This window comes from Homo sapiens, chromosome 1 (assembly GCF_000001405.40).
Source record: "Homo sapiens chromosome 1, GRCh38.p14 Primary Assembly".
Taxonomy (NCBI): Eukaryota; Metazoa; Chordata; class Mammalia; order Primates; family Hominidae; genus Homo; species Homo sapiens.
Genome location: NC_000001.11, coordinates 181,726,502 through 181,753,405, shown reverse-complemented (window position 1 = coordinate 181,753,405; position 26,904 = coordinate 181,726,502). Strand labels below are relative to the sequence as shown.

Genomic DNA, 26,904 nt, shown 5'->3' with positions numbered 1-26,904 from the left:
TATTGACAGGGGTTCTCAAACTACACTATATTCTAAGAGTCACCTGGGAAGCCCGTTTAGGAGGCGCACTCCAAGCCCCTCCCACAGGGAGTCTGGCTCTGTTGTGTTGCGGTTGTCAGCAATCTGGATTTTAAGAAGTACCCAGGTGATCCTGATGCAGGTGGCCTATGACCCACACCTTGAGAAGCACTGCATGATTCCATGTGATGCTGAAGTTAGGGAATTGAGTCTGCTTGCTGGGAAGTATTCTGGTGTAGCCCCTGAAGATGGGGCTTGACTGGCTATGTGGCCTGAGCAGCAGAAAGACTTTGGGGCTGGAAACCAGGAGCTCTGGTCCTCTCCCTGGCAGTGCCTTGCTGTCATTCACAGGAATTCAGAGAGAAAGAACTTTCCTCCCATGGAGCCTCAGCTTCCACTAACAGCAAAGTATGCGGGGTGGGGCAGGTGGGTTCAACAGTCTAGCAGAATTGTGTGATAGAGTGCAGGAAGCTTTCCTGAGAGGCAGGGAGACTCGTGGAAGGTGGAACCCCAGGGGAGTTGAGGAGGGAGCATATTAGACAAGGAGAAATCTGGGTAAGATACCTAGTAAAGGTCCTGGCAATAGGAAGAACTTAATTCATGTCAGCTCACTTCCCATTTCTTCTCTGCCTCTGCCAAAAATGGACTGCATGTCCTTGGACAAGTTACTGACCTATCTGTGCCTCAAAATTATGAAGGGTAGGGCTAGAAGAGCCTCTTCTCCTCTTGAGTTATAAGAAAAAGAAAATGTCCCAGGATACTCGGCCTTAAAAAATATGCAGACCAGAACACACAGAGGGATCCCGTTGCTTCCATTCTGGTGTTCTGGGTCTGCACTGGGGACATAGACATAGGAGGCCCCAGGACAAAGCCACACAGGATTCCCTCTTGGATGACATATCACACCGGAGAGAAGACACCATCTGGGTCTGAACTTAAAAGAAAAAGCTTTCTTATAGATTTCTTGGGATGTTGGTTATTTTCCTTTGAAACTAAGACCTTTAGCTCAGGCAGATGAAAAGAACTTCGATATCCGTGTGAGAAAAAGGAATATTCCCAGAACAAATTCTCCAAAGGCAGGCCAGCCATGGCTAAAGAGAGAAGATGGGAGAAGGGGATTTGATGGGAACAAACTCTGTAAACACTACCTTGAGCTTGGGCAAGCGCTTGATGGTTTTCAGTGGCCTTAGAACTCGGAGCACCCGCAGAGACTTGATGGTCTTGATGTCCCGTCCTTTGTTGGTTCTGCAGGGGAGAGGCCCCCAGGGAATCATATGGAATGGGGGAGAAATAAAAATGACATTCAAACTATGGCATTAGTAACAACAGGCTAAAAGGGGAGAGATGTATGGGAGAGATGGAGGCAAGAAGCCAGAAACTGAGTCAGATTTGACTCCAGGGACATCCTGCGAAAAATGCTTCAGGAATATTCTCAAATCACTTCCCAGTGTGCACGCATGAACACACATCCACATGCACGTACACACTCATATATACACACACAGAGGAACATACAGGCACACAGAGGCATCCATGCACATATGTTAATAAACACTTCCTTCCCTAACTACCAGTCTAATGCTGCTGATTACCACACTGGCACAATGAAAACGGAAGACACATCAACTAGGGAACGTGAGCAGTAGCCCACTTCAGATCCCTACTGTGCCTAATCCAGTGCTTGTCAAATGATAGGTTCTCAAATGATATTCGCTGAATTGATGAACCCACAGTTGAGAGCAAGTCTCATCAGGGCACTAGACTTAATCTGGGTTTGTCACCGCTGCACAGTTCATTAGTTCAGGAGACAGCAAGGTGAGGCAGGGTGGCAGACATGACACTCTCACTGGGCCACGTGTTCCAGAGAAAGCATGTCATGCAGGCTTCTAGCTAGGACCTTGGCTCACACCCCAGTACCTCTGTGTGGCTGGCTGTTCCCGCAGTCCCTTCCATTGCAGATGGTGTGCACCTAGCACAGGCTGCAGAGAGCCACTCAACTGGAGGAGGCCCAAACTGCAGGCCCAGCCTACCTTTATCCTGGCCCTACAGCTATTGATCCTCCCTAGTCAGCCTCTTGGAAATGTTTACTCCTAATAGTGACAGTATGTTTCTCTTTTTATTTTTAGGAATAAAATGAACAAATACATTTGCATTTCTCTTTCTTCTCTGTTCATCCCCTGAGATATTTGCATTCAATTCAAATAGTTGTCATTTATAAAACACACAAATGGTGGAAAACAAGACTCTAAATAGTGGAGTCAGGCTCTGTCTCTTTCTTCATGTTGACCCAGATTACTCTTACACCAACAATCTGAGGAAATGGGGTCCAGAACATCAGGTGGGAACTGCAAGGCTTCCGGCTGCTTTCCCCCTGACCTTCCTGCGATACCTACCCCCCTACCCCACCCCCCTGACAGGGAGATAAAAGTCCATCCATTCTTTCACAGAAAACGAGGCCAAAAGATATTTAATCGAATTGAAGGAATGCTGACTTTGCCCAGAATGTTTATTTTAAGACTCTCTTAATGATTATAGGCCATGACCTACAAGTCACTTTTATTCAATCCCAGATCTGAATATAAATAATCCAAAAGCCTTGCACTGATGTGGTCTTTAGCATCCAGAGACTTTGGCATGTTTTACAAACGATTTCACTGCATTAGGCTCATCTGTCTACATACCTAAAAGAGGCAACATATGAGCCGAATACATATCCAAACCAATAAGAATGACCATTTCCCAAGAAGGCTTGGTGACTCCTAATTTTGATCCCTTGGATATAAATAAAAACTGACCACTCTTTTCTCAGTGCGTGAGCCCCTCCCCTCCCAACCATACTTTCTCGCTCCTCCAACTCATTCCTTGTATCGTTTACTTCAAAGATAATCGAACATATTTACCCCAAAGCGTTCCTATGGAGGATCCAATCAGAGAGCAGTAGAAAATCAAAATAAAACAAAACAAAAAAATGGGGTTGGGGTAGAGAGAAGAAAGACAGTCAGAACACTTCAGGGAGAAAAGAGAACCCTACAATGATAGGGAATCAGAGCAGCACAGGCCCAGGGGACCCCACCCACAGCCTTGGCACTTAGAGTGTCCACACCTTTGTGAAAGGAAGGGCCAGCACACCATTTGCTCCATTGCCACTGTCCCAGCCTGCAGGGGCGAAGGCCCTCTGCCAGCACAAGGGACAATTCTACATAGACTTCTGGGTATTGTGTGTTATTTCCATGGAGTCTGGTTTAACTGCAGTTTTCTAAGTGCAGGCGTTTACTTTCATTTCCTATGCAGTCTTCAGACAAACTCTGTTTCCAGTGAATTTATAAGAAACCAGGCTGCAGGAACTATGCCCACTCTGGGCCAGAAATTCTCTCACACACTGGCACAGTTATGCTTATAAAGGGTTTCATCTAAAGAGGGACACGCAACCACTCAGAGAGAGACTCACTGATGTCTCTTAGAAGCTCAGAGGAGCAACACCATTAAACCAACTTGAAATAAGGGAGGGAGGCATTTGTCTGTCAAGATCATGATGTCACACCAAAGTTTGCCTTTTGATAAATTAAATGACCGCCAGTCCATTGTGAGCATACTGTGCAGCTTGAAGGTGAAAAATCATCCCAGTTCTACTGGTGAGGCATTTAAAATAAGTCAGGGCATAAATATCTTCAAGATAGAAATAATGACAACTTCTAAATTTTTTGAATATTTATTTATTCTGGGCCAGACTCTGTGCTAAGCAATTTTAGTGCAAATCTTTATTTAAACCTCCTAACTTTAGCACATAGGAATCACTATCCCCATTTCACAGAAGAGATTCAGAGAGGTTGAGTGCCCGACATCAGCTGGCAGAGCTGGGACATGAACCCAAGCATGTATGATGATCAAAGCTCTTGCTCTTAACCACTAAGGCTCTGCATCAGCAGGTTTTAGTTCAAGGTTCTGTCAAACAGCACAGTGAATTTCTGAGCTGGAAGAGATCCCTGAAATCCACCCAACTGCACAGGAAACTGAGGCCCCAGGAGGAAGTGCCTTGCCTAAGATCATTCACTGAGTGAGTTTAGAAACATAGGTGAACCTGCATCTCATGATTCCCTATCCTGGCCTGCTGCTAAGAAGAAGTGCTCATAATTCAGGCTTTGGTTCTTAGTTGGACATTGTGATGAAGGTTACTTTTTTTCTTTCCTTTCTTATTTTTTGCCAACGTATGGCAAACCTATGTTCCACTACTGTATGTCACAAGCAAAGACTTCTAATGGTTATTTTACTCAACAAATGATCCCATATTCAAAATTAAATTAATTTTCACTATAAATGCCAAATGAATCATGACTTGGGAATTAGACCCAAGGCCTTATAAACCTTAAATCCTTAATGTGATAACCTCTAAATGTTCAGAGGACAGAAATATCTTCCCCAGCATCTTCTCACATATAAGACAGGGCATATGGTAGGTCAGCCAAACACATCTTTATTCATCCATATACCAAGCATCTGTGGAGTCCTTAATATATGTCAGGCACTGTTCTGCATACTGGATATACAGTTGTGAACAAATGAGGTTGCCAACCTTTTGAAACTTACCTAGTCTAGTAGGGAAGATAGACCTCAAGTAAACAAGCACATTAATAAAAGTATAACTGCAAGCTGCCATAGGAAAAATGAAATCAATTAAAAAATTTACCAAAATAACCACAAAGGTTTCCCTTTCCCCAGGCTACATTTGTCTTAAGGAAGAACTAAGGGATAATCTTTCATATCTCTAAGATGTAAGAATAGGGTGGGAGATCAATATATGGGCAGGTGATCTAGGATCACACACCCCAAGCTTCTGCCTTCTGCTTAGCTCAAGTCCTTATCTCGGAGACCTTTCTATCCTGTAGCATCTGAAAAGGTTCTCAGAGGTCATGCTCATAGACATGCGTCTTCTGCGGGAGGGCCCAATATTTCCTGCTCCTCCCACACACCTGGATAAAGGATATAATTTGCTCTCTTGAATTAATTTCCCCCCAGAATCCTAGTAAAGCATCATGGTATAATTCATTGTATTACCACATATACCATATAAGGCATGTTATAATGCAAACTCACCATTGTCTCTTGTTTTGGAAAACAGGGTTCCTTAATGGTACACTCTAATCTTAACAGCTGAACGTGGCTGCCAAACCACTGGGGGGGCTATTTGTCACATCCTAACTCCCACAGGTCTGAGCCAAGGATAGCAATCAGACACAGGCCAAAAGTAAAATAAAAAAAAATAAAATTAGTCATTGCTCTACGCATCTTTCATCAGGTCTCTTACTGCAGAGGAGCCATTGAAAAGCTATGAATTGGAATAGCTGCAGAAAAATATGCTTTCATCCTCAGTTTTGTTAACAGGGGCAAGATTTAACTGATTTTAAAATTGCCATTTGAAATGAAAAGAGTACTGAATAACAAAGCCCTGGAGTCAAGAAACGCCTCAACACTTTAGTCCCCATTAGTTAAAATATAATTTACACATGGACTAGGCCAAAGTACTGCTCCCAAATCCATACATACAAGAGTGATTTAAGCCATTATCAAAGCCAACAAGATTGCAAGGAAGACATTTCACCAAACTAAAAGGATGAGCTCTTCAAGTACCTTAATTGAGGCACATTGTTTAGGAAATAATTCACGTGCATTTTACAAATCATTTAAATGTAACTGTTTGATAACACTTTGCTAGTCTCTGATACTAAATTATAATCAGATATTTTTACACTGCCTCATTAATAAAATTTCTATCAGGTTCAAAAATTGACTCTAATGTTAAAATCTAAGGACAATTCCACACACTAGGATGCACTGGTCTCACTTTAATTGGGACTCAATTGGGCCACACATTTTACCATTTATTTTCTATTTATTTGGTAAGTTCCTGGCTGCTCTCCAGTAAAAAAAAAAAAAAAAAAATGACAGATTTTTCTTGTTTCATCAGTAAAAGACGAGAATTTTCCAGCTCAATTGTCAAGCTGCCCTCCAGATCTTTCATGTGTAATTACTCATCATTCAATGTAATCCCGCTCTTCACCTCCCAGCCCCCTCTTCTCAAAGGACATGCTCTCAAGTTGATTTCTGCCAGGAACTGATTCTCCTCCCATGAGGGCAGAGCAGGGACATCAGGTTCTAAAGAACCCTTCTGTCCTTTAAGTGCCATGGCCTTCTGCCCTACCCCATGAGCGGGGAATAGCTCAGGGATCTGAAGGAATCTCTTGCCTCAGGGAATGGCCAGGCTCGCAGGAGTGAAAGGTAGATGGAGGGGTCATGCTGTGAGGAGCCTCGAGTGTCTCACTAATGTGTCTGGACTATTATTTGGTAGGAAATAATAACTATCATTTATTATACAATTACTAAGTCCTTGGCACTATAGCAGACATTAAATACATTTTACCTTATTTAATGCTTATAGGACCAAAATATTATTTTGAATCCCCATTTACAGATGAAGAAGCAGAGGTTCAAAGTTAAGGCGGTTAATAATAGTGCTGGGATTCAGGCCTAAATGTGCCTGACTCTGAAATCTATGCTCTTATTTGTGATGTTAGAGTGCCTTTCAAATGGGAACCACTGGAGCGTTTTAACCAAAGAAGGAAACAGTAAAAGGACCAAGTACTTCCTGATCTCAAATACTAAGCTATCACACTCCCCTCCCTGTAATCAGTTTAGGGTCTATGAGGGTTCCTAGGAAAAAAAAAGTTACAGATGAAACAACAAGATGGACAAGTTCAGGGATGACCTTCTCCATCTACCCATAGGTCTTGTCTGTCACCAGGTAGAGACAGAAGGATCTGTAGGTTGAGGAGAGATCTATACCAAGCCACTGCTCTTAGCTTACAGGGGTTAATTGCTTGGAGCTAACTAGAACATGATGTGTAGAAGGGCGCTTAACATAATGGAGACAACACTGAACTTCAAATCAGAACACCAAGGTTGCTCAAGAACTGGCTTTGCTATTTACTAGTCAAATGAGTCAGACTAGTCAAACCTCAGGCAATCCACTTCTCAACTGTAAAACAGGACTGTTCGGTGATAAATAAAATAAAGAGTGTGAAAGCACTTTAAAAATTCTAAAGACCCCATGGGGAAGTTTCCCCTTTTGCACTGGCAGTGCCTGTCTCTCTAGGATCTGCAGATAAGGATATGTTCATCTGCTTCTGTGAAAATTTTAAATTTACCACTTTGACGTTGTCACTGCTTAGCGGCTACCATTTGGGGTTTATTTTTCCTCGTGGTCCATGCCTCAGCATTTCTTGGGGTCACCCTCGAACCCTCAATCCATTGTTATTCTGCCATCTTTCTTTGTCATGTGACCAGAGCACTAGCTCTATGCTAAGTGGTGCATAATCCTTTCCCTCTTGCACATGGACCTCAACGAGCTCCTCACACACACTCCCGAGAGCCTTTTGCAAGCTTTCTCCTTTGCTATACACAGCACCATACTCCAACTGGCAGGTGTTTTTGTCCAAACACTGAGAAGCAGCAGGAGAGAGCAGAGCATCTAACTGTCTCCTAGCAGTTTTATTATTCAATCTGGTGAACAGTGGATTTAGTTGTCTCTTTTGTCTTATTCTAAACATACCCAAAGACACCTCATCTGCTGATCTTTCTAAGAAGGCCTTGGAGCTGGTGGAAGTCCACCCAATACACTTGTCCCACTGAAGACTAATTTGAAATGCTAGGCTGTGCCCCTGTGCATGTGGATTAGGAAGGTGGCTGGCATGATCTGTGTTGATGGTCCCCAAGTCCCATTATGAAGTCTTCCGACTCAAGTTACTCTAAAATCTACTTTTAAATCTGGAGGGCACTATGAGGAGTTTCCACTAATCCAGCAGTACTGGGCTCTTCCCATGGTTGTGAAGGCTCACAGGGTGCATTTTATATCTGGGTCTAGTTGGTTGTTGGTTACCGTGTGGATGGGGCAGTGTTCCCTGATTGGATCATTTCATTTTGCTTGGGTCTGTGGCCACGGGCTGAGATCCCATTTACAACCAACCATCTCCCAATTTCATGCTGTTAATTAAAAAAAAAAAAAATACTTGGGTGTTCACACCCATTGCCTCCATAAGATAAAGGTCTCAAAGTGAATATTCTACAGGCAGTTCCTCAGCAGTACCAATGTCACATGCAGCAGACAACACATTTTCCAGCGTTCACTAAAAAATATGCATGCTGAGACTTAATGCCAAGAGTAGGTAGACTGAGGACTTATCTCCTTTCAGACACTCACTCCCTCCATGTGGCTGCCACTCTGTCCCTCCTTACTCCCTCCCAAACTCCATTTTCAAGGCAGCTATGATATAGTAGTAGGCACCTCAAAAGTCCATGGGCATTGATCATCCTTAGTGTCCTTGTCTGGGCACAAAAATCAGATGTAGTCATTCTTGAGGTGACTTTTAAACTGGAGTGTCAGGAAACAAAATCCTCCTATCTGCTTACAGTTGGAAATTTCCAATTCCTTTTCAGCTGGCCTCCTAAATCCACAGTTAATGGGCTACTTGACGGCTAAATTTAATTTTAATCCTTCGTTCTCTTCCACAGAACAGGGGCACTGGATGACCTGTCTGGCTCAGTGGTAAATGGGTCTTCTTTGCATGAAGCAGGACTTCGTCCACTTTTTTTGCCTCCAAGATTAATGTGCAGTCACTGCTTCCTTTGGAAGACTCCCCTTTCAGTTTGAAAAGAGGGAAGTTCTGTCAAGAAAGAAGACCCATAGGCAACGCTGGAGGTTTGAGGGGACTGCCTCAGACACAGGCAGGTAGTGAAGAATAGGAGAAAGAAACAGCCAGGTTTAGGGTGAAATGTTTGTCTGTTGTTTCTATGCTGTGCTGAGCGTGAGTGTGTACGAGCATTTTGGTGCTGAATAGCCACCTCTTTCTTACATGTGCACATTCTCACCTTCTAAAACACAAAATCCCACAAGCAAATCCGGAACCAGAGGACCATATTCTCAAACTCCCAGCCTTAAACAATCCTCCCACCTCAGCCTCCCGACTCGTTGGGGTTACAGGCATGAGCCACCACGCCCAGCTCCCAGAGGAACATATTATGTGGCTCCTTAGGATCCTTCCAAATCTAAAATTGTCCATGCCTGTGTATATAACTCTGCTGCTACAGCTACTGCTGAATGCATTCAATGGACCTTATCCATCTCAGTGACTAGGGCAGAGTGTCAAGTGTCAGGAAAGTGACATACTTCAATGAAAAGAATGTAATAAAAGCTAATGTGGGAACTCCAGTTCCTTCTGGCATCAAGAGGCAGATTGACTCATGTTTTTCGTTTCTGGCTAAGGACTGAATAATGAAAGGCCAAGTGCGGCTGTGAGCCAAATCTCCTGAGTGCCAGGGAGTCCTGACCTCACCCCATGCCCTGCTACAACAGCAAATGGCAATGGGAAGCTTTGGCGTCAGCCGCCAGAGAGCCTGTGTAACTGACTGATGCACGGGCCATGGTAAATTCCGAGGTGGGGGAGGAGATGGGAGCAGAATTGCTAGTTATTTTTCTATTAAACCATCTGTGCTGACGATCAATTATAAGCTGTGAGATGACTACTTAGAATCCAATCCAGGAGCGCTCACCTGCTCATGTGAATCGAGCTAGTCAAGTAACGTGCTGTAGAGCAGTGGAAATGGAGAGGGTGAGAGTCCTGGGTTGGAGTGCAGGTGTCACACACAGAAAGACACACACGCACAGGTGTCCTGGTCCTCTCCTACATTTCTCCAGAGATGCTGTCCCTGCCCACCTGTTTGCCCAAGTCACTTCACTAGACATGAAACACATGAAACATGAGGGTTCTGTGAGGTTCATGAATGTAATCTGTGTAGTGGTTATGTGACCTCCCTACAAGGCAGCTGACTTTGGTTGGGGAGCAGGGTCCCCCAAAGCAGGGGAATGTGCCTCATGTGCAGATCCCCAGAAATGCCAAGGCTGTAACCATCTTTGCCTTCCATGCAGGAGTCTGGGAAGCAGCAGCGATGGCAACAGGGTGTGTGGAAACTAGACAAAGCGGTTTCTGGTCCTTTCACATGAAATCACACAAAAGAATCCCTCTTCATTGGAAAGAAAAAGATAAAAGAGGAAGGTTTCATAGATCCAGCCACTCACCAGACTTTTCTTGAGACCTCAAAGTACAGAAGGCACAGCTCTGGACATTTATAGTCAGCAAACACTCTGTCTCCATGTGGCCCAGAAAGCGGGTGTTGTCAGGGCAGCGGAATAACGAAGCCCTGAACCCAACCTTTGCCAAAACTCTGCCCACCTCCCTGCAGGGACGGTGGGCTTAAGGAAGGAGACCTGAGTGTTCTTATAAATGCCTTATAACGTAAAAGTGAATTGGAAAGAACAGAAAAGTTGCAATGTGGGTATCTTTCCATTTATTTTTTTTATCCACTGCTCTGCCCACACTTAAAATAAATCCAAGAAGAAAAATAAACAAATGAAAAAATCCCCTTCCCTTCCTCCTCAAAAGTCAATAAAGTTCCCTAATGGAATTTTCCAGCTTTACATTATAAACGTTCCCTTAACTTGATGTATGCAGCTGTGGAGAACAGTCTTCTCTTCAGCCACTGCATAAACAACATATATGCTTGTAGAAAACATACATGGTGGCAGGCACACGCCTCGGCAGGAGGGCTCAGGGGACACCACAGCTTTGTTTGAGAATTCAGCTAGAGGTCACTCCCCCGACTCGGTGAGGGGCTTTGCTCCTGGGAGTTGGGCCAGGGTCTGAGAAGGCTCTGGCTGGGTGGTGGAAGGAATGCCATGTCAGCCCTGGTTTCTGAGGAGCCACAGAAAGATGCTACCATGGCAACCACCATAGCTCAAGTTTATTAAGCAATAGGCTTCACAGAAGCCTCCTCACTAAGTCATGGTTCAATTTCAAGAAGGGCAGAAAGAGACTGGGACAGGAATAAGGTTATTTGAATGGTGGACATTATGGGGCAAATATATGGGATATGATAACGAAAGTTGTAAACACAAGGAGAGAGATACTTGACAAGCCTGCAGACAACCCCACATTTGGCTTTCTGCTGGCCTGAGCCCCTGACCATGAGGAATATAGGCTCAGTGACTTCTTTCACTCTCTGCCCCAGGCCAGGCCCTCTCTCTGCTGGCAGGTGGGACTCTGGCTAACCCCATCAAAGTGATGGGAGAGCTGAATTCTCTGGTACGATTAATGAGGAAAGGAACAGGGCAGAGTTAGAAAGCATGGGTGCATGAGTGAGAGAAAGCATTACCTGGACCTCCCTCAGCAAATGTGACGAAGGCCAAAGGAGGGGGAGTGGGAACCTGCTCCATGAGCGGAGAAAGGGGAGAGGGAATGGGCATGGCAAGCTTGGGAAGTTGAAGGCAAAAGAGAAAATGGATGGAGAAGGGTGAGCAAGTATCATCTATGTTTCAGAGAAAATGAAGAGAGAGTTCAAGAAGTAACATGACTAAAAGCAAGTGATGGATCATAACTCTCAATACATCACATAAGTGTGGACCCCAGAACGAGGGGGTTCCTGGGGGCCCCTGCACTGTACCTGGTCTGAGGACCAACAGAGAGGCTTCAGCTCCGGGGCCGTTAAGGCTTCCCCTGCCACCAGCGCCAAAGCCACCACCGCCATGTTTCAAAGGGCACAAAGAAAGAACAAGACAGATGACAGCTCTACTGCACATCATCACTGCTCTGGGTCTCAGGAGAGATGTCTGGACTGTGGACAATGGGCAGGCATGCAGGAGCTCCCTCTAAAACACACCTCCTCCCACACTGGCACCAACACACCAGCCTGGTTACCAGGCACACGGGCATAGGCAAGGGGGGTGTGTCTGTATAAAACAACTAGGTCTTGGGCCAGCCTGCACACATCTATCTGTATACATTGTGCATCAATATGTACTTCCTCCTATATTTGGATTTCATGATGTGATAAGAGAATGGAAGGATGAGGAGGGGAATCAACATGTATTGACTGTTCACACTACATCAGGCCCCGTCCTAAGCACTTTACACACATTATTTTATCTGCATTTCAGAGATGAGAACTGAGGTTAGGAGGGTTAATATTTTGCTGTGTGGCTCAAGGACACAAAGCTGGAAAGTAGAGGGGCTGGGATTCAAACAAGAGCCCGTCTGGTTCCACAGCCCAACCTTTCTTGCCACTCTGTCCTGTTATGCCAGTGGGCTCTGTTCTTCCTAAAGATGGGGTGGGTTCTTTCCTATATGCTTCTATCTCTTTGTCCTTTATACTTCAAAGAGAGACACATGATTTTTAGAGATCAAAATAAGAAGAATGATACAGTGAATAATCTATGCAAATGAATTAGTAAAATGAAAGGGAACTTGACCTTTTAAAAACCTAAGGATAATATTTATCTCTAACAAAAAAGGTGGGTCTCCTTAGGGCAAAGGCAGACTTTAATCCTTCTTTCCAAGAAGACGGAAGAGGAGCTGGAAGTCCCTCTTTTGGAGCCAGAGCTGCCTTTCCTTTCATTGCACCATGAGAATCCAGACAGGGCCCAGATGCTTGAGAAAATACCCCATGCTTCTGTAAAATTTCCTCAAGAACAGTCCAGCCACATGTGACAGAAAGCTTTCTTTTTGTGGGGGACAAAGGTGACTGCACACAATGGAATTAACATGTGCACAAGGGGACAAGGGACACTGGAATTACCTTGATCACCAGCCCATTTTAGAGTCACAAACTATGCTCAATGTGGTTTTCTTTTGAAGGGTCTCTCATGGCTGAGGAAGCAGTGGACACAGTCCAGTTCCAGGGTCTGGGAGATCCTACACTCCTAGCACAGCTGGGAGTGTATCTTGTACCTCTCCTTAAGAGAGAGAGAGCCCTCCACTATCCCCACCCCCACCAGGCCACTTGAGAAACATCTGGTAATTTTTATCCCACCTGTTTTTCTGCCAGAAAGGATAAGAGACAGCAGCTGACAGTGCTTGAAGAGAAGCTTGGGGAGAAGCACTGTCAGCTTCCCTGTGTTTCTAAACATTTAGAAGGGCAAACCCTTCCAAGGGTGATCTCTTTCTAAACACTTGGAAGGGCAAACCCTTGGAGGGAAAACCACTCAGAAGGGTAAACGTATGAAGATACTGTGTTCCTTTTGCAGCTGCCATCAATGACAGAAGCTCCTGAAAGCTCTCCTGCCTCACTACACAGTGTAGCTAGCCTTGCTTAGCCTAAAGATGAGGCTTCCACTTGTACTCAGAGAGACTTGAGGGATGGCTCTGAGAATTCTGTTGTGCCTCCTGGAAGAGGCTGAAGCTGCTCAGGGTGAACAAGGTACAGACAGAGCCCTGAGGCTGTCATTCATCCTACTGGGACACTCTATACACCGGGTTAGGAAAAAGGCCCTGAAAGCATCCCATTTCCTAGTTAATCCCAGGAGGGCTAGAAGAGCCCTTTCCTTGGCTAGATTCCACAGGAAATGTCAGAATGTGATTGAAAACTGGCTAGAGCTGGATCCATGTGCAGGGGGGAAAAAAATCCCACAAATATTATGAACATGATTTTGTTGCCTGAATGGTTTAAGACTGTTTTCCTAGGTATGTTATCAAGGAAAGTTTGGAAAGCCTTTCCTTTTGGAGATTACACATATTATTAGGTTTGTGCAAAAGCATGGTTCTGGCATCCCTGGAAGAGCTCTCGTTTACACCTGCTATGAATAGAAAACCTCACCATGCCTAGGATTCCGTGATCCTCAACTTTGCTCTACCCTCTGCATCTTTCTTTCAAGCTGCTTCCTTGATTGACACACTCAAGAAAGAAAGGGCCCATAAGCTGTTCCTGGGTCCATTGCTGAATGCATGGAAACACTGTCCACACTGTGAGTGCCTGCCCATGCTTACTCATCTCTAGGAAAGGAATTCCTAGGGCCTCTGACTTCTCCCTCCTGACGCTCCCTACTCCTGCTTCCCCCGTTCTGCCACTCAGGTCACGTGAGCTGGAGCTGCAAGGCGCTCAGGAGCTCTGCTGGGGGCGACTGGGGAGCAGATTTCCAGCGGGGGCATTCTTTGGCATCACCCTGCATGTTGCATTTCTGGAAAGGGCTTCAAATCAACTGGAGTCTCCAGGAAGAGGGGAAGGAAGGGAATCAAATATGAAAAGAGTCACTTACGCCAGAGCAAAGGCCACCAATGCGCCAACGACCACCACAAAGTCCAGGATGTTCCACAAGTCTCGGAAGTAGGACCCATCCTGCAGGATCAAGCCTTGGTCTATCATCTGCAGAAGGATATGAACAGCCACAGTGAGCCAAGAAAGTGTGGGCAACACTTGACCTGAGCTCTGTTCATCATGGCAGTGCCCCCACTGCCACTGTCTCCACAACCAACCCTATGCTAGGACCTGGAGAATGAGAGGTTAGGTCCAGCAGGCTTTCTCCACATAACTGAGTCCTGAGGCCCCCATCTCATAGTCACCCAGGGTTCACTAGACTCCTTGGTTGTCACAGAACCCTGACACATTCCTCCTTTCATTTATGGCTCAGAGCACTGGGCATTGCCACATATGCACAGATGGGTAAAATCCTGGATGGATGAGGCTGGGAACAAGACAGACTATGGAGTGTTGTGGTGGCTGGGACTAGATGAAGCCCAGGAAGACTCATCTCTACCTAGCCCTTTGCCTTGGCACACACCCAGGCTCAGCCAAGACAAGCACTGGGGAGGGGAGTGCAGGCCCCAACCCTGTCTGCACATCTGTTGCCTGCCTCCTACTTGGGCCATGTCCACAGGCCTGCAGCAGTACAAACACATCCACGCAGCCGTGTCTTGCTGAGACAGATTTCTTCAGGATTCTGAGGCCAGAGAAGGGGCGGCAGAAGCTCTACTGAGGGCTGCCATTGGCTGGTAGGTGGTAACACTGAGGAAGGGCTCTAGCCTAAGGAGCAGACAGGTGACCCATCTAAACCCAAGAGCCCAGGTTTTCTCTAGAAGTTTTTACCTTTATAACCATCTCAAAGGTGAACACGCCCGTGAACACATAGTCAAAATACCTCAGGACCTGAAAGACACATATGGTGGAAGGAAATGACCATGTGTGGCCAACAGGCTACTACATGAGCTCCCACCTGCCAGGACACATGCACTCGTGCACGCCCACCCTGGCCCTCACCCACTGCACCCTCAGAACAAAGGCTTGGAATTAGAGCCACTAGCTGGACTGAGAGAGAAATGCCAGAAGGAGGGGCATGGGCCCTGCTGGAGCCATGTGACCCAGTGGCCACTCCTTGGCTGCTCCCTCTCGTTGGCCAGAACTTAGCATTTTGGGTCTGAATTGCCCACATACCTGTCCCTTAGTTCAGGCTCGGGACCTGAAATCCTTGTCAGCTCCTGTCCTCCTCGCGTCCCTCATGTCTCCTGACACATACCCGTGGGACCCCAGGAGAGGCCTTGGCCCCCTGTGGTGGAGCTGCAGCTGCCAGCTTCACACACACCATCCATGACCCTATATTAGACCCACATCCAAGCCCATGGGTGGCTGCAGAGCCCTGCAGAGCCCTGGCCGGTTTGGGGCAGAGCCTTGTAGTATGTTGGGCTAAGAAGGGGCTTGTCTGGGAATGGTTCATACTTCGCCCTGAGGAACAGGAGTGGACAATTTCCAACCCTTGCTCATTCCCCAGAAACCTTGCTACCATCTCGGTTCACCTCCAGTGCTGGGATGGGGTGAGCACCAGAGCACTACAGAGGCTGGCACATGGCCCCTGTGTACCCACTTTGTTGCGCTCCGAGTTGGTCAGGACGGGGTCCTCTGCCGCCAGGGCGATGCTGCTGGCTGCAATCACCAGGAGGATGCACATCTCAAAGTAGCGCAGGTTCACGATGTAGTGGCAGGCCCTCCGGATCCTGCGGGCAGTGGGCATGGCTGAGCTGGCCCACTCCCCACCACGCCCATGCCCTTACTCCTCACTCCCACATACACATATTGGCCCCTTCCAGACAGCCAGGCCCTTGCCAAAGGAAGCCGCCAGGGAGAGCAATTTAATTTCTCAGCCACCACCCTTGATTTAAAGCCCCAGTGGAGGAAGGTAATCAGATTGGTTAGAGGCTGCAGCACGCAAGCCAAGATACATTATCCACAGACACGTCTGAGCCATGGGGAGCAGCCAGCATCAGCCTACCAACTCAGGGCAGCTGCATAGCACCCTCTGCTGTATCTCGATGTCTACTCTCCCACTGAAAGGAAACTGGGACATCCCAAGGAAATTACAAAGAACCAAAAAACATAAAAAGAGATCTTGATTCTAAAATTCCTGACGAAAGCAGTAATGAGTTTTCATGAGCCCCAGGTTATTCTGGTTAAAGTAACTGTATTCTATATTCTGCATTCTAGCCATGGATGGCTCACATGCCTTAACTCAGGTTGCTCCCTTCCCAGAGCCCTGCTGGAACGCTCTTCCCAAATTCCATCTTTCCTGAATCTAACCTTCCAGACTCCGCTCTGTCACCCCCACTTCATGTCCCTGCCTCTGCTCTGAGTAGCATGCTCAGAGCAGACCATTTCAAAACTCCACATGTAGAGCAGTGTGACCAAAATTCTCAACTCCAACAGGTGATCTGGTCATTCTAGGCTCCACATTCTTGGCTCTATCCACTTCTGGAATATTTGGTGGCAAAATCTCAAGTAGATTTCCTTCCTCCCTCCACACTACCTACTGACCAAAGACTGGTAAAGAGTTCCTTTCCAATGACATTTCTCATGTTCTCCTGTCGATGTTACTCTTTCAGCTATGGGCACAGAGTTCAGAGGCTGACTAACTTACCAACCCACCTCACTTAGGGGGCACCCCAGATGCTCAATGTCTGGCCATGCTCCACCAGGAAGGCTTAAGAAGATGGCTGGGCCCCCATCCTTCCTCTCCCCTTCACCCTGCCCTGCCTCACACCTGGCCGTTTACCCTAGCACTAAAGAGGGAGCAACGCGAGGGTGGCTTACGGGTTGGTGGTGCTGAAGATGAACATTGAGCTGTGGGGCACCATGGCTTTGCCTGTCTCACGCTTCTCCTTCTTCTGCTTCTTCTTCTCCACCTCCTCCTCATCCTCTCTGATCTCTGCCTCCTTCAAGGGACTGGCTTCCCCATCCGTCTTGTTGCTAACTGCAAGAGGAACACGTTGAAATCTTCAGAAATCATGAGGCATGTGAAAATGGCACCATTTGTGTTTAGTTGGGGATGAAAGGAGAGGAGGAGAAAGGGCTCCAGGGATGTCCCTAACAAGGTGCCCTGCAGGCACTGGGGGTATTTACTACCTGACACTGAGTTAAACTCCTCTTCTCTTCTTATTTTTACCCTCCCCAAATGTTATGAGAAATAACCTTTTATGTCATATAAATGACCATGATCATGTTTCCACTTTTAAGGTTGAACTTTTACAGTCTGATAAACAACATGATGTTTCTGTTATAAAATTCACAAGGTTTAGATTTTATATCTAAACTCTGGATTCTTTGTACATGCTCACTTACTGAATTTTCCCACTGAGGGGTATACCCTCAGTGGCATGTATTATTACTCCCATGATACAGATGGGAAAACTAAAGTTCTAGCAATTTAAGTACCATTCCTAAGGTCATACAGCTAGTATGGGTTCCCAATTCAAAATCCTATAGCCTTTCATTGAATCACCCTGCAATGGAAGATTTCAAGAAATCATGATTCTGTTTGCAGCAGGCTTTCTGGCTGTGCTTTTCTCGGCCATGGTTAATGTAGAAATGAGAATGCAATATTCATGTGAGTATAGGTCCATGACTGCATCCAAGGATTGGGAGGACGAAGGAGCCAGAGGTCGAGGGGAGCTCTCAGCTGCTGCTCTGTTTCCATACTCAAGACACGGTGTAGGTTAAACTGGCAGGAGGCTGAAGCTGTCACAGTGGGGAAAGGGCCCCAGTCACCCTCGCCCACTGCTCCCTGCTCATTGAATGACTCCACCCTGGAACCCTGTGTCAGCAGTGGACCTCGGTGGTCCTGGCCCATGCCCAGGCCTCCTAAAGAGTAAGTCATAAGAAGTATCCAAAAGCCTTCCTATCACATGCTTTTACCTATGACCAAGACCAAAGACTAGCTCTGGAATTACAACAGAGGGAGAGTAAAGCTTTATGTTCTTTCTCATAAAAGAAGGCCCAAAACACTTCTTATGTATTAAAGCAAACAAACACCAAAAGAGCTGTGGGTCTGGGATCCTGAGACATGCCCAAGTCAACTGAAGCATGCACTGGACATGGGAGATTGCACTTTCTGAAGTAGCAGTGGCACGTTGACTATAGAGAAGATGCGGAAATGGAGAGGGAGCCATGGAAGAAAGAAAAACAGGGAGGGAAAAGATTTTCATGTGAAAGAGTAAATACAGAAAAAGTAGAGGAAAACAGCAAGGCTGGAATCCTGTGGTCACAATTCAGTGATCACGGGGCAGCAGGTGGGATTAATGCACAGAGATCATGAGGCCAGAGCAGGGATGGGGTATGGGGTCAGGGCAAGGATAGGGTGTGGAATTCATAATGCAGGGATGAGGTGTGGGGTCAGCGCAGGGATGGGGTGTGGGGTCAGGGCAAGGATAGGGTGTGGAATTCATAATGCAGGGATGAGGTGTGGGGTCAGGGCAGGGATGGGGTATGGGGTCAGGGCAAGGATAGGGTGTGGAATTCATAATGCAGGGATGAGGTGTGGGGTCAGGGCAGGGATCGGGTATGGGGTCAGGGCAAGGGTAGGGTGTGGAATTCATAATGCAGGGATGAGGTGTGGGGTCAGCGCAGGGATGGGGTGTGGGGTCAGGGCAAGGATAGGGTGTAGAATTCATAATGCAGGGATGAGGTGTGGGGTCAGGGCAGGGATGGGGTATGGGGTCAGGGCAAGGATAAGGTGTGGAATTCATAATGCAGGGATGAGCTGTGGGGTCAGGGCAGGGATGGGGTATGGGGTCAGGGCAAGGATAAGGGGTAGGATGAATACAGGGATGGGATGTAGGGTCAGGGCAGGGGTGGGGAAGTGCTTTTTTTTTTGGCTGTGTTTCCCTTTAGGACACCATTGATTAACATTTGTTGCCTAAGGGAACTGTGATGGGGAGAACTTGTGGCTAAAAGCTCCTAGGAGAAAAAGAGTTGATAAGAGCAATAGAATCATATAAAATGTTAGTACAGGGAAAGGCCTCAGAGATCATCTAGTACAATGCTCTCACTTTACAGATGACAAACTGAGGCCTCAAGAGATGCAGAGATTTTTCCAAGATCACTCAGTGAGCAGAGCCATGGTCCACTCCATCAGAGGCTCCCTAACTTGCCAGGGCAGCAGAGCACCTGGGAGACCCCAGACAACACCATCAAATATTCATGCACCAAAGCAAACAGCTGAATATCTAACTGGGCACAAAGTCACAAGTGATCACTCTGAAGACTTGAGGGTGGTCACAGGAACAAGCCTGGGGAAATTTTATGGGAAAAATTTAAGATGAAGAGAACGCTAGCTTATTTTTGTTCTGCACACTGGGAGAAAACCGCCACTCATTTTTACTTCTTGAAGGATGATTTACTCCTCCTGGTGGTGCTTTCCATGTGGCTTTATTGTCATGGCCCCAGCCCCAGATGGGATAGGAGTTGGGGGTGGAGGGGAACAGGGACTGTGCTCTCACTGTGCACCACGGTTGAGTCCACCAAGGGGTCCACGTCGGGGATGGCGACGGTGACGCTGGTGCTCTCGGTGGTGGCCTTGTCCGTGTTGGCCGTGATGCAGGAGAGGTCAGGCTCGCTCTGGCTGATGACCCGGCCCATGTCTAGCTGCACATTCCCCAGCAGGGCCTGCTCACTGCTGCCTTCTGGCTCCTGCTCCGTCAGCACCACGTGCTTCCCCACTTCCAGCTCAGGATGGGGCAGGACTAGGGGGGTGTCAGCCTCATCAAGGCCTCCTGCCAGCCCGGAGCCTCTGGACACCATCAGACTGTTGGTCCTGTGAAGAGAGAGGAAGAGAGAGCTGGTGCTCAGACGCTGTCCCCAAATGGCAGGTGTGCCTGGCACAAGGGGAAGGCGGGGAAGCTCAGGCAGCCTGGAAGGTACAAGGCCACCACTGCCTTCCACCCCAACCAGACAGGCAGAGAGGTGCTAAGACCCACAAGCCATGGCCACTGCCTTATTCCCATCCTTCTATCCACGACCCACTTCCAACAGGCCCTCGTTTTTGGGGGGACAGAGCCCACTGCCTGTTATATTTATTCATACCTCACAAAGTGTGTGTCAGCATCATTTCCATTTTATAATAGGAGAAGAAACTGGAGCTCAGAAAGGCTTATATTGAGGAACACCTAACAGCAGCCTGTGTGCCATCCATCTGGGAGCCCTGTGACTCACTCACCTCCTTAAATCCTGGGCTCTCTCTTCTTGGATCGTTGGCTCCTTGGCACCATGGTTGCCCCTGAGCTCATGGTCCTTCTCCCCTTCAGTGGGCATGGCTTCATCCAGACTGCGTTCCTGGCTGGCAGACCTGCTCCGGGAGGCTGAAGAGGACTCCTTGCCTTCTGTCCTGACGCGGCGATGCCGGCTGCGCCGTTGGCTCTGCCTGTGCCTGGCCCGGTCCTCAAAGGTCACCACAGCCTCTCCTCCCCCTGCCTCCTGCTGAGTCGGGTCACAGTTTCCATGACAGGGCCTGGCCAGCCATGGTGGCTCCCGCTGGCCCAGGGACAAAGGGGTCCTCTGGTTGTCCAGGGCACTGGATCGGTCCCCTCCATCCCCCTTGAGGGACCCCCCACGGCTGATGCGCTCCTCCTCGAACTTCTCCAGGGCCAGGCCCAGGGCCAGGCCCTCAATGGCCCTGGGTCGCCGATAAAGGCTGGGGTGGGCATTGAGCGGGTTGAGGGAGCTGAGCGGGTTGAGGGGGTTGAGCGGGTTCATGGTCGGCGCCTCCTCTCTGTTGAGGGCCTCCTGGCTGGACATCTGCATGTGCTTCCTCAGCTGGCTGGTACGCTGCTCCCACACGGACATGTGGTGCCGGCGCCTCCGCTCCCTCCTGCCAAGGGGAAAGGGCAGGGCCGCGGTCAGAGCCCAGAAGCTGCAGGCAGGGAGGGTGGCCACAGGGGCCATGTGAGAGGGCAGGACACATGGTGGGGGCAAATGGGAGTGCCCAGGACCTGCAGACAGGAAGCACAGAAAGATGCGAGGAGCAGGCGGGCCACACGTGAGGAGCTCATCAGGCAGGTGCCTCCCAGCCCAGGTACTTTCTGCTCCAATCCCTGCTTTGTAGTAGCTGAGGGCTGGGTAGGCATCAACCCTGGGAGGAGTTCCAAGTCCCCAGGGCCTGCTGGGGCAGCCATCCACAGGCTTACCACGTCTTCACTCCCCTGCTCTCCTTGCTTTCGGGGCATCTGCTTGTACACACTCAACGGCCCTTGATTCAAGGTCAAAGGTCTTTCCTCCTCCTCTCCCCCTCATCTCCCTTCCCTCTCAGGTTACAGCCCGGGATAATGAGGGCTGAAATGGTCAGATACCATTGAAGGGTAAGAAGAGTGCCAGGCAGACTTATTACAAAAAGTCTTGATATCACCCTCAAAAGTAAGAGTGCTAGGAGTCTCTTCCACAATAGCTAATAAAAGCCAGAGAAGGCTAAGTGCAGAGACCACCAGCAGCTCATACTCAAAACTGCGATCGAGCATTTCAGCCCAGGGGCCTAGAGGAGCATTCATGGGGCAGCGGGAAATCATGAACATGACAAGTGCAGGAGAGCACATGGGAGAGGGCTCGCTGGGCGGAGGGGAAGTTACCTCCTCCCTGAGCCTGTGCCTGTGGGCGCACACCTACAAACTGTGAAGGGGACACGCGCATGTACCCACACGCATCCTCGCTGAGGCCCACACATAGCTGTACACAACTACCTACGTGAGAGGTATACCCACCAACACTAACACAACATATACCCACTCACAGGCCAGACTGAAGAGCGAAAAACACACAGTTCACAAAGGTAGACACACGCTGATATAAGCAAATGTTGAGAGGTGCAGAGGGCATATCCACAGATCATGTGAACGGAACACACACACACACACCAAGCCACACACTGACATGCACACCCAGTGCCACTTTGTCTATGGCAAGGACAATGACACATTGTCCCACGCCCACACGTAACCACTCACAAACACGCAAACTGGTACACACATACAGGTGGCTGCTGCGTGGCTCCCACATCGACATGTGGTGTCTTCTCCTTCTGTCTCTTCTGGGGAAGAAAAATGGACAGGTTCAGTTCACCCCAACCTCTAGGAACCTCAAGCCCCACAGCCACCAGCAGATTTCCAGAGGGAGACAGGGAGTCCTCTGTGTGGCCATCAGGTCTCCATGTGCCTGCTTGCCTTCTGTAGACTCCCCACATTCGATTCTCCAATGGAGTGACTTTCGATTCCTTGCTATGTGCAAATACATGGATCTAGTTTTTGAAGCACACATGCAGAGGCACACAGGTTATGCCATTTCACATGATCCACAGCTCCAGATGCTCAAACACCATGCCTCACAGGCACGCAAACTTCCACCTACACATCCTTCAGATTCCTATTTTGGAAATCCTGTAGATGTTGCTGAGTAGTTTTCTTCCCCTCCCCCGAGTCATTTCTAGGGCTAGCATAGCACATTCATTGGGTGTGGCTCCCCAGCTCATGACTCCCATAGCAGAACCTGACCCAGCTTCACAAAACATGCAGCGGAGCAAGTGCTCTGCCATGCACGATGTCAAGGCTACGAAGTGGTCCATGGTCAGAGGCAGCACCATCTTTCCGTAGGCCACCATCCATGTACTCCAGGATGTGAGCAGTGACCTCTGCCTTTGAGCAACGCAGAGGCCCTGGCCATAGACCCTGTTCTATGTTCACCTGGGCAGAGCAGAGTATTGACCTTCTTAGCCTTGTACAGAGAAAACTCTCTTCCATATGCATGTTGTGTCCTTACAAACACAAGGTTAGAATGGCAACGTATGAACTGTTCCCGCAAAAACAGACAGGATGCCTGGTAAATAAGCTGTCAGCACAGGTTCAATGCTCAGCTAGAGGACAACACATCTGGGCTATCCTTGCAGTGAGCCTGCCCCAGTTACTGGCCTGATGAACTCAGTCCAGCCCAGTGGGCCCTGCTTGGACCTGGGATGTTGGCAAATGCTGATCCTTTCCTGATAAAGCTGATGCCCACCCACGGAGAACATGCTAGGCAAATTAATCCCCCTCAACTGCCATCTTTCACATGTCTGCAGAAGAGCCCCACACAAGGGTGGGACTGAGGGAGCAGAGGCAGTTGGTCTGAGGCCCACTCTGGGTGTCTGGAAGATGCACAGTGCACATGTGTGTGGCCACCCAGGAGCACCCACTGATGCAGACATCATTGTGGAGAAGCCTGTGAGCTCCTCAACTGAATACAACCCTCAGCATCAGTGACCTGCAATGCAACAAGGCACAGGTGGGGGCGGGAGAGCCAAGAAGCATGGGTAGATACAGAAGTAGAAGCGTACGCTTTAGACAGGCAGCATGCACATCTGCTAGGAAAAGCACATCACACCATCTATTTGCAAATTCTCAAATATTCAAATACCAGCTATCCAGAAGCATGTGTGTAAGAGTGTACGTACGTGGAAGGATTCTCTCACACACACAAGCATGAGCATTCTCTCTACTCACATATGCACAGATTCAAACTTACATTCATACCTAAAATCATACAGAGAAGCATCCACATGTCTCCAACTCATATGAATGAGACCTTGTGTACGCCTCACAATAGCCCTTGTGGGATAGGAAGGGCAGGTGGCATTCTTCTCATTTCAAAGATGAGGAAATAGAGGTTCTGAGATCGGAGTGGTTTTCTCTCTGAGGTCACAGGGTATATTAGTGAGACAAATATAACTAGCACTCAGGCACTTTGCTTTTTAACAGTGCTTCTTCTGTGTTTCTTCATGGATAGCCATGTTTGCACTTAAAGTGTAGTCGGAAATCAGCAGTTTCGCCTTAACACCCAAGCAGGGCATGAACACCTGAGCAAGGCATATACAACTGAGCAGAGCACACACACCTAAGCAATGTACGCACACTGGTGCAGGGCACACACACCTGTGCAGAGCACACACACCTTAGCAGGGCACATACACCTGAGCAGTGTACACACATCTGTGCAGGGCACACACAGCTGAGCAGGGCACACACACCCGAGCAAAATGCACACACACCTGAGCAGTGCACACACACCTGAGCAATGTTCACACATCTGTGCAGGGCACACACAGCTGAGCAGGGCACACACACCCGAGCAAAATGCACACACACCTGAGCAGTGTACACACACCTGAGCAGGGCACACACACCTGAGCAATGTTCACACATCTGTGCAGGGCACACACAGCTGAGCAGGGCACACACACCCGAGCAAAATGCACACACACCTGAGCAGTGTACACACACCTGAGCAGGGCACACACACCTGAGCAATGTTCACACATCTGTGCAGGGCACACACAGCTGAGCAGGGCACACACACCCGAGCAAAATGCACACACACCTGAGCAGTGTACACACACGTGAGCAGGGTACATACACCTGAGCGATGTTCACACATCTGTGCAGGGCACACATAGCTGAGCAGGGCACACACACCCGAGCAAAATGCACACACACCTGAGCATTGTACACATACCTGTGCAGAGCACACACACCTGTGTAGGGCACACACACCTGGGCAGAGGACACACACCTATGTAGGACACACACACCTAAGCAATGTAGACACACCTGTGCAGGGCACATACACCTGGGCAGAGTACGCACACGAGCAGGGTGCACACGTCTTTGCAGGGCACACACATCTGTGCAGGGTACATACCTGAGCAGAGTGTACACAGCTGAGCGGGGCACACACACCCGGAGGTGGCTCACACCAGCAACGCCAACCTCACAGCACATGTACAGCACCAAAGCCCGGGTCTCTGCTGGTCTTGGATGTTTGCAGCACGTCCTTCCACCTCACTGTGCCCTGATGCACACTCTGCTCAATTCCCACGGCCCTGCCTGTGCCTACCCACATTTCATTCATTCTTTCATTCCAGAAATAGTGAGTTTCTACTCTGGGCCAAGCGTTGTCCCAACTCACATCTCTCTAAACCCACTTCTCCCCCAGGCTTCCTCATCTCAGTAAATAGAACCACCCACTCCTAAGTGACAGCCAGTCCTACCCATCCACATTTTTGGATACCTGTGTGTATGTGTTTTTAACCCAAACTCATGAGTTCAGGGAAGGTGGAGTAGAAATTACTCAAGGCCCAGAGAATATTCCAGAGAGGAATATTCCCTATCAATCTTTGGCATTTCCCTATCAACCTTTAACGATTTGGAAGGGAATTTTTCTCTTTCACTCACAGAAGAGGGATCCAGGGGCCAGGCATTTGTTACGAAAGGCAAAGGCAACATGATGGCCGTGCAGGAGGGAGGTCCCCCGCTTCAACACACAACCCTGGCACACCCCACAAGGCAAGGAAGAGGCTGCCTGGGAGCCCTTCACTGGAACTCTAGCCAACCAAGGGCTCTTCCCTTACTAGCTTCAAGTAACAATGACAGGGTCATTGCCAGGATAGACTTCTACCCCCTTGGGGGTCTCGGACCCTCCCACAGATGCCCCAGCACCACTCACCACTCACACAGTCCTCATGCAGGCCCCGATGCAACAACAGGAGTTATGTGGTTCTATGGTCACTTCCCAGCCTCTTCTCCAACACCCCTCTGTGTCACCACGCAGAGACCAGGCCACGCAGGGCCCAGGCCGACTACCTGTAGCTCTACCACAGGTCCAGGCTAGATCCCTGAAGCAGTGGACTCACCACTCTCCTTTATCACATCCTGTTCTCTCCCTAGTCCACTTCAACTGGGTTCTGTTCCAACCTGGCCACGAAAATGGCTCTTGTAAGGTCACTAACAGCTTTCATTTTGCCATATGCAGTGGTCCCTTTTCTGTTCCTCATTGTATGTGATTTTTCTACAGTATGTAGCACCGGCACCCACTCCTCCTTCCTGCAGTTTTCCTTCACAGGTTTCCAGCACACTATACCTCCTGTTCTTTCTCTTGCCTCCCGGCTGCACTCCCTTGGTCTCCTTAGCTGATTTCTCCTCTTAAGCAGGAGGAGCGCTGTCAGCCTCTGTCCTCAGCAGCTGGGTCTCTGGGTCATCTGACCCATACTAATGACTTAAATGCCATCTAAATGCGAACAACCTTCCCCAATCATTGTTTTAATTCTGACTTTTCTGAGCTCCAGATGCAGGTAACCAATAGCCAGTTCAATACTTGGATGCCTTAGAAGTATCTCAAAATGAACTTTAGATTTCCAACAGTTTCCAGGGATACAGTAACTACCACCACTCCCCAACCCGTTGCTTAGTCCACAAAACCTTAAAACCTGGGATCGATTTTTGTTTCTTCCCTTTTATTCATCCTCACCCCTGCCACATTTAATCCATGAGCTCATCCTATTGGCTCTCTCTCCAAACTACCGACTGAATGGGATTACTCATCTCCTTGACTTCCCCCACCCTAGTCTAAACCCCCATTACCTCTCACCTACTTTACTCTGAGAGCAGACTCTTTCCCTGCCTCCACTCTGGCCCCTACAGTCCATTATGCTCCATAGAACAGAGTGACCTTTTTAAAAGTGTAAATCATATCCTATTCATCCTTCCACTTGAAGTCCTCTTGTGATTTCAGCTAGAATAAAAGCTAAACTCTTCCACCTGGACTTTAAGGACCTCCGAGTTGGCCCCTGCCCCCTCCCTGGCCCTTTCTCTATTTCCCCTCATTAATTACACACCAGTCACACTGAACCTTGCTGGGGAACACTCTTCCTTCAAAATGTCACATGACTGTCATCTA

The 26,904-nt window shown here is 48.3% G+C and overlaps 1 protein-coding gene across 14 annotated transcripts in view; it reads right to left on the bottom strand.

The window, feature by feature from the left end:
* The window catches only part of CACNA1E (calcium voltage-gated channel subunit alpha1 E), a 490,386-nt gene that overhangs the window by 54,679 nt on the left and 408,803 nt on the right, over nt 1-26,904 (bottom strand). For 7 of the 14 annotated variants that reach the window (XM_017002244.2, XM_017002243.2, XM_017002249.2 and 4 more), the window contains 9 exons: nt 22,175-22,231; nt 20,372-21,022; nt 19,656-19,969; nt 16,972-17,131; nt 15,752-15,881; nt 14,980-15,039; nt 14,153-14,259; nt 2,919-2,930; nt 1,167-1,263 (listed from right to left, as the gene is read on the bottom strand). In XM_017002244.2, the coding sequence (XP_016857733.1) occupies nt 1,167-1,263; nt 2,919-2,930; nt 14,153-14,259; nt 14,980-15,039; nt 15,752-15,881; nt 16,972-17,131; nt 19,656-19,969; nt 20,372-21,022; nt 22,175-22,231 (1,588 nt within the window). The remainder of the gene's footprint in view (nt 1-1,166; nt 1,264-2,918; nt 2,931-14,152; nt 14,260-14,979; nt 15,040-15,751; nt 15,882-16,971; nt 17,132-19,655; nt 19,970-20,371; nt 21,023-22,174; nt 22,232-26,904) is intronic. The other 7 variants (XM_017002247.2, XM_017002250.2, NM_001205294.2 and 4 more) reach the window with 3 other exon arrangements.